This window comes from Homo sapiens, chromosome 6 (genome assembly GCF_000001405.40).
Source record: "Homo sapiens chromosome 6, GRCh38.p14 Primary Assembly".
Taxonomy (NCBI): Eukaryota; Metazoa; Chordata; class Mammalia; order Primates; family Hominidae; genus Homo; species Homo sapiens.
This window is the reverse complement of record NC_000006.12, coordinates 137,503,911-137,514,307: the sequence shown is the minus strand read 5'-3', so window position 1 is coordinate 137,514,307 and position 10,397 is coordinate 137,503,911. Positions and strand designations below refer to the sequence as shown.

The window sequence follows — 10,397 nt, the reverse complement described above, 5'->3', positions numbered from 1 at the left end:
TATTTCCCTAAGAGGACCTGGGTTTTGAAAATAATGTTTGCCTAAAATGTTTTGCATAGTTTTAAATAGCAATTAATATTTTATAAAACAAACAAATAACAAATGAACAACGAACATGAGTTGAACAAAATAGAAGAAATAAATATGTTTGAATTGTAGCACCTGATACAACTTTAAGTTGTACTAACCACCTGGATGGGGTATTGTGTTGATGGTTCTTTTAAAATATGTCAGGCATATTTGGGTTGAAAAATGTATGCTTTCAGATCAGTGAACTTTCTTTAATATAATTATGATATCTTTTCCATCAAATGGAGATTGCAGTATTTACATCATCTTTTTCACAGGGCTTGTAAAACTGGAAATGCTTTTTGAAAAATGTAACTCTTATACTGTTAATCAGCACTCAGCCCTTGTAACATGATTCAAAAACCGGTATTAAATATTCCACAAACTTTAAAATACTCTGTTTGCAAAAGTTATTATTTGTGAATGGATGGATTCACGCATTCTTCACTAGGAGGAGAATGCGGCCACATTTCCTTTAGAAAGTTCAAAAGCTGCGGTGCCTCCTTACGGACAATTGCAACCAGGATGGTCAGAGTCTCACAAGTTGCCTCAGCAAAACGGAGTAATTTAGAAACTCACTGTGTATCTCCTGCTTCTATTTGAAAAGTCTTGACAAGATAGAGTCTGTAGGATTATTTTATGTCTTGGTTTTTCTACTGAAATTTCCGCCACTCTTTCCCTTCCTGTTTGAGAGGGAGCAACGGCTCAGAAATCCGTAAACAGGCCGGCTGTCTTAAAGGAAATTCTGCAGCATAATGAAGCCCTCACGTCGTCGGGCCCCGGCCTGCTGGGCTCAGGCCACTGAAAGCAGCCGCTGGGTGAATTTCCCAGCCTTTGGAAACTGTCTCAGTTCTGTTAAGTTTGCTCAAGTGTACCAAGGCTGTTTGCAAGGGAGGACTCCAGCTGGGTGGGTTTGTTCTCCTCCCAGGAGCTCAGAAAAGGTGAGAGGGCTCCTTCATATGTTCCCTTGAGCCTCGGTCCCCCCTCTTTTTCCTTGAACTGACACAATAGCTTCTTCAGCAGGTCCCTCTGCCAGGGAGCTCTCCCTCTCGCATCTCTCACACTGGGACATTTTTCCACATTTCCAGGATTATGGCCACTTTTACTTAGATCTATGTGTGCTGCCTCCACATACAAAGAAGCACTTGGGGACAGGATTAGTAGGATTAGAAGAGATTCACATATGTCCAGTTCAAGCAATTGGTATTCAAAGCTTTACACGTTCAAATGCCACCAAGAGAGAGAAAAGGAGTAGGGAGCTTGCTTTGCATTTCAGCACCTTCAAGAGAGGAACAGTGCTTTTTATTGGTGTTTAAAGCAGAGGGGATAAACAGATTCCTCTTCTGGTTTAATCCAGTCCAACATACCACTGCCTGTAATCTGGGTAACCAAATAGCGGTGCTCCCAGGCTCTAAAATCACAAACTTCTGCATTTTGGTGATTGCTATTGTTCCAAATGACATAAAACAGAGCACACGTCTCCAGCAAGTTTCTTTCCCAGTTGTGATTTACTATTTTGTATACAGACATTCTTGCAGGATCTCCCTTGCAAAATATTCACAACTTGATTTGCATGGGAGAAACAATGAAACTCAGCTTCTTGGCACTGACTTAGAACAGAGGTTTGATTTGGTAGTGGTGGAGGGGGCGTGTTAAGGGGCTTAATGGGTAATAAAAAGTGAAGGAAAATATAGTAGCATTACACTTGAAATCTGAAAAACAGTTGTTGAAATAGTGGAATTGCTTTTTACACTTGATGTAGAGGCATAAGTACACACCTTCTTCTTATTCATGCAACATAATTATTTTTCTTATCAATCACTTCTGTTCTCAGGTTATGAAGCAACCCATTTCTTTCTCCCTTAATCTCCCATTTCTATAAAGGCCTATTTTCCTTCATCAAGCAACAGAGCATCTATGGAAAACAATGGCTGTATTTTTAGGTCATATTGTATTACCACTGATTCCATAACTCCCATTAGCTAACACATAAGAGAAGTTTTGCTAGAGATGATAACAAATTTTTTATTTTATTAATATTTAGCAACAGGAAACCTTAATTATAAAGTTATATTTTGATGTATTTTGATTGTTTTTTGTCATCTTTCCCAATGCTGTGGATTTTTTTGAAGTTAACTTCTCATAAACTCCAGAATATTACCTTCAGTAAAAAGATGGTGCTAAAAATTTTATTGTTTCTTATGGTTAAGTGTCTCTTTTAAAATTCTTTTGATTAATGAAAAAGATATTTACATGAGTTGTTATTGGACTGGAGGCCCAGTCCCTCTGTCATTAACTAGCTGTTAACCTTAAGTGAGTCACTCATTTTCTCTTGGCCTGAAATTCCTCACGTATGAAATAAAGGGGTTGGAGTAAAATATTAATAGCTTCGGCCGGGTGCGGTGGCTCACGCCTGTAATCCCAGCACTCTGGGAGGCCGAGGTGGGCGGATCACGAGGTCAGGAGATCGAGACCATCCTGGCTAACACGGTGAAACCCCATCTCTACTAAAAATACAAAAAATTAGCTGGGCGTGGTGGCGGGCGCCTGTAGTCCCAGCTACTCGGCAGGCTGAGGCAGGAGAATGGCGTGAATCCGGGAGGCAGAGCTTGCAGTGAGCCGAGATAGTGCTGCTGCACTCCAGCCTGGGCGACACAGCAAGACCCCATCTCAAAAAAAAAAAAAAAATAATAGCTTCCATTCCTAGCACTGTACAATTTACAAACTGCTTTTACATACTTTTAAAAAGTATTTTAGAACCTAAACATTCTGTTTCACTTTGTAATCATTTTGAAGGAAAGACATTTATATTATGTCTTCCATAGAACAGTCACACCTTTACAAGAAAAAAAAATGTTACCATTAAACAATTTAACTGCAATAGCTCTGGAACAGGAATTATTTAGGAAGTGACATTTTATGATGAGGCACCATCCCTATAAGATGTGATCTCAAGTGTTTGGTGCCAAATTACATTTCACCCAATGTAATCATTGTTTGCTCAGTCTGTTTTCTCTCTTCAGTTCAGACTGGGTAAATTCTATTGTTTTATCTTCGGGTTCACCGCTTCTTCCTTCTGTCTCCTCCTTTCTTCTATTGAGACCCTCTAGTGAGATTTTTATTTTGGTTACTGTATTTTTCATCTCTAAAATTTCCATTTGGGCTGGGTATGATGGCTCATGCTTATAATCTCAGCATTTTGAGAGGCTGAGGTGGGAGGATTGCTTGAGCCATGGAGTTTGAAGCCAGCCTGGGCAACATAGGGAGACCTTATCTCTACAATAAAACAAAAATGAGGCTGGAGGATTGTTTGAGTCCAGGAGGTCGAGGCTGCAGTGAGCCATAATTGTGCCACTGCATTGAGCCATAATTGTGCCACTGCACTCCCACCTGGGTGACAGAATGAGACCCTGCCTCAAAAAAATAAAATAAAATACAAAATTAAAATTCCCATTTGGTTATTTGTTTCTTTGCTGAGGTTTTCTATTTTTCTCATTGGCTTCAAATGTGTTCATAATTGCTCATTGAAAAAGATATTTTTTTAAATGTTTTTAGAGAAGGGATTCACCCTGTTCTCCAGGTCAGAGTGCAGTGGAGTGATCAGAGCTCACTGCAGCCTCAAACTCCTGGGCTGAAGCAATCCATTCTCCTCAACCTCCTGAGTAGCTGGGACTACAGGCATGAGCCACCACACCCGGCCAATCACTGAAGCATTTTTTTTGATGGTTGTCTTAAAGTCCTTATCAGTTAATTCCAACATCTGTGACATCTTGGTGTTGTTGTCTGTGGATTGCCTTTTCCTCATTCGAATTGAAGTTGTCCTGGTTATTGTTATGAAGAATCTTTTTTCATGTGTTCTGGGCATTTGGGGTATTATGTTATGAGACTCTGGATCTTACATAAGTCTCCTGTATTAGCTGGTCTCTGTGGAAATCATTCTGGCAGGGGGAAGAAAGGCACCATCTCTTTACTCCTGGGTGAAGGTATAAGCCCATGATCCTGGTTCCCAGAATCACACTTTGATGACAATTATTTAGAATTGTGTGGGAGATAAGATATAGGTTTTGGAGTCAGACAATGCCGAATTGAATCCTGGCTCCCATTTACTTACTATGTGTCCTAGGATATGCTACATAAACTTGCTGAGCCTCAGTTTCCACATCTCTAAAGTAGGGATAATCATACCTTGGCAGGCTGTTTCTGGGATTAGCAGTACTACTTGTGAAGTACCTAGCACGCAGTAGGTGTTCAACACATATAAAGTGCCTCCAGTTATAAAGTAAGTATCAGTGTATTGAAAGAGGACAAGCTGAAGAGGACACCACTCTGTGAGTCTCCTAATGGATAAAAATCTCACAGCTCTATCTTCTATCTCTCTTTTTCCCCAAGCAATCCTGTTTTCTAAAAATTGTGGAGTCATTTTGTTTGGTTTAGTTTTGTTTTTCGAGGCAGGGTCTTGCTCTATCGCCCAGGCTGGAGTGCAGTGGCATTATCATGGTTCACTAGAGCCTTGACCTCCTGAGCTCAAGTGATCCTCCCACCTTAGCAACTGGGATCACCAGCACATGCCACTGTGACTGGCTTTTTTATTTTTTGTAGAGATGAGGTCTTGCTAAGTAACCCAGGCTGGTCTCAAACTCCTGAGCTCAAACAGTCCTCCCAATTTGGCCTCTCATAATGCTGGAATTACAGGTATGAGCCACTGTGCCCAGCCCTAAAAATTGTTTTACATGCGGTACTAATATGATATTTGTAAAAGCCTCTTCCTAGTGTCAGTGGCAACACTCTGCAGGTCAACAGGCTTTCAGATTGACTTGTTCTTCCCTTTGCTTCCTCCTTGAAGTTCTCCAACTTTTTCACACAATTGAGTGATTGGAAGAAAGAAAAGACTTCCAATGAAAACTAGTCATAGTAAAAATCTCCCTGTAGTGTGTTTGATTTTCATAGATGCTATATTTCTTCATAAGACTTAGGGATTTTTTGTGTGTGTGAGTTAGCCTTATCTTGTTTCTCAGTAGTATTTCTATTGTTACATTAATTGTGCTAAAATACACATAACAAAAATTTACCCTCTTAAGTGTACAGTTCATTAGTGTTAAGTATATTCTCATTGCTGTGCAACTGATATTCAGTACTTCTTTGTCGGGCAAAACTGAAACTCTTTAACCATTTAACAACTCCCCATTTCTCCCTTCTCTGAGCTCTCAGCAGCCACCAGTCTACTTTCTATGAGTTTGACAAGTCTAGATACCTGACTGATTGATTGACTTAGACAGGCTGTCACTTTGTCACTCAGGCTGGAGTGCAGTGGCAGGAACATGGCTCACTGCAGCCTCAACCTCCTGACTCAAGTGATCTTCCCACCTCAACCCCCTAAATAGCTGGGATAATGGGCGTACACCTTCACACCTGGCTAACTTTTTTGCTTTTTTTGTAGAGATGGTCTCAAACTCCTGAGCTCAAGGGATCCACCCACCTTGGCCTCCCAAACTACTGTGATTATAGGCATGAGCCACTGTGCCCGGCCTCTCTAGATATCTTATATAAGCAGAGTCATATAGTATCTGTCCTTTTGTGACTGGCTTATTTCACTTCTTTCGTGTCTTTCCCTGAATGGCTGATATGGATAGAAAAATGTTTATATTTTCATTTGGACAGGCATCTCAAACTTACCCTATGCAAAATATCTCCTCGCTCAGTTTTTCCCATCTCAATTGCCAAAAGATAAGTGGCAAAAATAAAAAACAATAAAAACCACGACTCCAATACAGATATAAAATAAAATCAAGTCAAATATTTTATTTAACTCATTAATTTATGAGAGAAACCAGTAATATGTTACAACCAATTCAAAGAAGCACTCAAAGAGTAGAAACACATATAGAGAACGAAACATTCTGAAACAAATTTACAAATAACATGCAAAATGGTCTACCAATAGGCAGTCATCAATTAAATTCTACTAAACACACTCCATATGCTCTTCTATGGACAAGAATAATTTTCTACAATTTACAGAGCTACAAAACACCTTCAAGACAACGAAAGGCAAGATAACCTGAATGAGTGAGTTAGATAGGACACTCATTCTTCTTTTAATCTCTTCTTTTCCCACTTCAGAGTCCTCCACTGTTTTTCTTGACACAGTTGATTGCATCTATATCCTTCTAGATATCAATTCAAAAACTTTGAGGTCATCTTTAACCTCTTTTTCTCATACTCATGTCCAATCTCAGCAAATCCTGTTGGCTCGTCCTTCAAATTACATTCAGAATCTGACCACCTCTCACCACCTCCACCAAACAAGTGGTACAAGGCACCATCACTTATTTCCTGACCTGTTGCTTGCAATGGCTTCCTAATTGATCTCCCTGACTTTAACCTTGCCCCTTTCTGTCTCTTCTCAATAAAACAGAATGATTTTTCTAAAGTATAAGTAGGCTGAAGCCACTCCTCTGCTCAAAACCCTCTCAGGGGTGCCATACTTACTCAGAGTGGAAGCCAACGCGCTCACTAAAGAGCAGAACTTAAAATTTCCTGCAAAGCGCTGTACATTCTGCACCTTCGATTGCTGTCCCCAACGCAAGAGCAGTTTCTCTCTGATATTTTTTACTCTTTCTTTCTTTTCTTTCTTTTTTTTTTTTGAGACAGAGTCTCTCTCTGTCGCCCAGGCTGGAGTGCAGTGGCGCGATCTCGGCTCACTGCAAGCTCCGCCTCCCGGGTTCAAGCCATTCTCCTGGCTCAGCCACCCAAGTAGCTGGGACTATAGGAGCCCACCACCACGCCCGGCTAATTTTTTTTGTATTTTTTAGTAGAGACAAGGTTTCACCATGTTAGCCAGGATGGTCTCGATCTCCTGACCTCGCGATCCACCCGCCTCGTCCTCCCAAAGTGCTGGGATTACAGGCGTGAGCCACCGCGCCCAGGCTACTCTTTCTTTCACCCTACTTCAGCCACATTGGCCTCACTATTTCTCTAACATGCAGGATTGCACCTACTTCAGAGCCTCTTTGTATCCGCTGACCTCTCTGCCGGAAACATTTTTTCTCTGGGTCTCTAAATTACTTGGTCTTTTGCCTCCTGCAGGTTTTAATGAAAAATCGACTTCCTGGACATCTTCCTCTCCATTATTTACTGTTGTCACTACCAGCATCCCATTTCTCCTTCCTCAGTACCCTCTACTTCCTTCCTTCCTTCCTTCCTTATTTTTTCTGTAACAATTGTCATCATCTGATACAACGTGCATTTTGCTCATTTATGTGTTTCCCTTATAATTCAAGGCAATCAAGGGAAGGAATGAGGTTATTTTGCTCATTTAAAAACTCTCTGTGCCTATAATAATACCTGGCATGATGCAGTTGCTTAATAAATATTTTTAGTGAATGAGTTATTTCTAGCCCTTATGAAATAACCTGTGAACATTGTATCAGGATGATACTGGTAGTCCAGTAAGAAACTGGATCCAAAACCCAGATATTAGGTGCAAGATGAGACAACGCACATCACGTCAATATCCTGAAGTTTCAAGGTGCTGTGGTCAAAGGTATGAGGCTAAGTAAACCTCTGCTTGGGGCTTAAAGACAAGACAAGGGCCGTTCCCTGTACAGGCTGAATATTATCACCACCAATCTTAGCATGTCACCTGTGAAGAACAGAGGAGACAAAAGAAGCCATGTTCACCAAACATTCCTCAGCCTGTCTCTTTCTGCTAAGGTTTGTTGACAATATGTGACAAGCTAATCATAGTAGGGTATATGTGCTACTCACATTTTATTCAGAGTGCTTATTGGTGCCAAGCCTTAAACCTAGTCATCTGCAGACTACTTCACACTTGGGACTAGAATGACCTTGCCAAACTTCTTGGAAGTATAACCATTTCCACATGTTATATCTCATAGTAGCATAACAGTGTGGCCTTTCCACTGGTCTTAATAATGGTTATCAATTTTGTAAATTTTTTTTAAATCCAACTAAGCAGAGAACACAGTTTACTTTCACCTGAAAAAGGCAGAAGTCCACATTTGTGGAAAAGGCAGAAGTTCACATTTGCCTAGATTATTTAGCTCTCTGACATGATTTAGTCCATCTAGCATGTCTCATTATTATATTTAGTGACCCACTTGAAAATGTTTGATGTGTATCTACATAAGGTAAGATTGCTTAAAAAAAAAGCAAAAGAAAACAAAAAATAAAATAGGATAAGATTGTTATATAGGCAAGGTTGCTCTAATGAAGAAAGCCAAAAATAAAATGACTTACAGAACAAGGGAATTTCATTCTTGTCCATGTGATAGTTTCAACAGTAAAAGTCCAAGTCTTGAAGGCAGTTCTGCTCTACACTATAAGTGGGGAGCCTAGAATCTAAGTTATTGTTTTCCGAAGACCTAACGTGTCCTCATGATCTGCATGGTTCAAGTGTGATCAGATAGTAGACAGAAGGAAGAAAATGTGAAAGAGGCATGCCCTGTATCTTAACTCCTAGACTGCTTAGAACTTCCACTCACATCTATCACCAATAACTCACAGGGCTGCTTCTAAGAGTAAGAACATCTGGAAGCCAGGAAGGGGTGAAAAGGTTTTGGTAGCCTGCTATCGGTCTCTGTCACACCATCCTCATTGCTAGTTTCCAGTACTAGTTTCCATTACTAGTTAACAGTCCTAGTTACCAAGGAAGAAATGCTTCCACAGGAAGACACACATTTACTTCTAATAAACTGGAAGTTGAGACTACCATCTGGCCATTTTGGGTTTTTCACACCACTCAACCAAAAGGAGAAAAAAAGTATATTGTTATGTTGGCTGAAGTTATTTTTATACTAAATATCAAGAAAAAATAGTTTTGCTACAGAAAAGTGGGTAAAGGAGAGTATATCTGCAATACAGGAGCTCATCTGGGGACATGCTACTACTTTCTAATCACTAGTAAAAGTTCCTGGATGATCATAGCAACATTTTACATGCAGGACTACCACGGAATGTTAGCTTGACTTACTTCACCGAGAAGCCTGGTCAGTTGAGATGTTAGCAAAAGACAAAGGGAATAGGAAACAGATAGTAGAGCAAAGAAATTTAAAACTATAACTATACATTCATTAACAGTTGCCCATACTTTTTCATACTGTGTTAAATATATATGATATATATGAATATATATTAACCCATTTCCTTTTTTCTCTTCTGTTGTTCATCCACTATTTCGCATAAGTTGTCTTCATGTGTGTGTGTGTGTATTTTTAAAATTTCTTTTAGAGATGAAATCTGGCTTTGTGACTCAGGCTGGAGTACACTGCTGTGATCACACATAGCTCACTGCGGCCTCAAACTCCTGGACTCAAGGGATCCTGCCACCTTAGCTTCTCAACTAGCTGGGACTACAGGTGTGCACTGCCATTCCTGGTTGTATCTAAATGAATAACTTAATCTATAGAATGCCTTATATGAAGTAGAATTGACTAAATTAGAAGAAGAATAAAAATTACTCAGTGATAGACTTAGTGAGTGGTAGAATATTAAGTTTCCCAGTAAGTATATTTTTGTTACTGTTGTTCATTTATTTTTATGAGTGGTAATTGAGTTATGTCAGATGCAAGTGTGTTTTTATTGTAATAGTTGCTATTTGGAAGTTCAGCTATGGATAGGAGGTGTACACAGATATCAGATAACCAAAGGAGTAAACTGTGGTGGGCATGATGGATTAGCTTTTTCAACTTCTATCCTCTATCTAATTAGAGAGAACAAAGAGTTCTCTTCATTTCATTGATTATTTTACAAGTGAACACATATTAGACCTCCCCCCGCCTTTTTTTTTCTTTTTGAGACAGAGTCTCACTCTGTTGCCCAGACTGGAGTGCAGTGGTGCAATCTCGGCTCACCGCAACCTCCGTCTCCCAGGTTCAAGCAATTGTCCTGCCTCAGCCTCTTGAATAGCTGAGATTACAGAAGGGTGCCACCATGCTGGGCTAATTTTTGTATTTTTAATAGAGATGGGGTTTTACAATATTGGTCAGACTGGTCTCGAACTCCTGACCTCGTGATCCACCCGCCTTGTCCTCCCAAAGTGCTGGGATTACAGGCGTGAGCTACTGTACTCGGCCCTAGAAAGTACTTTTATCATTGGTCCATTCATGTTTGTGTCTATTTTGAATAATATAATGAACACCTGTGAACGCCCATCCCAATCCAGAAACTGAAGCCTTGATTATAACTTTTATAACTCTGTGTGGTTCTCTCCCATCCTATACCCCTCCTCCTTCACTTGAAGTAGCTCCTATCCTGAATCTATGCTGATTCTTCTCTTCCTTGCTTGCTTTTTCTTTTTTAAATGTAGC

General features: G+C 40.0%; 1 annotated feature.

Annotated features, from left to right (window-relative positions):
* Positions 662–956: a silencer, noted in NCBI's record as "tiled region #8938; K562 Repressive non-DNase unmatched - State 22:ReprW". NCBI's record gives its function as "represses a minimal TATA promoter and a strong SV40 promoter by Sharpr-MPRA in K562 cells {active_cell/tissue: K562}" and the evidence as "EXISTENCE:reporter gene assay evidence [ECO:0000049][PMID:27701403]".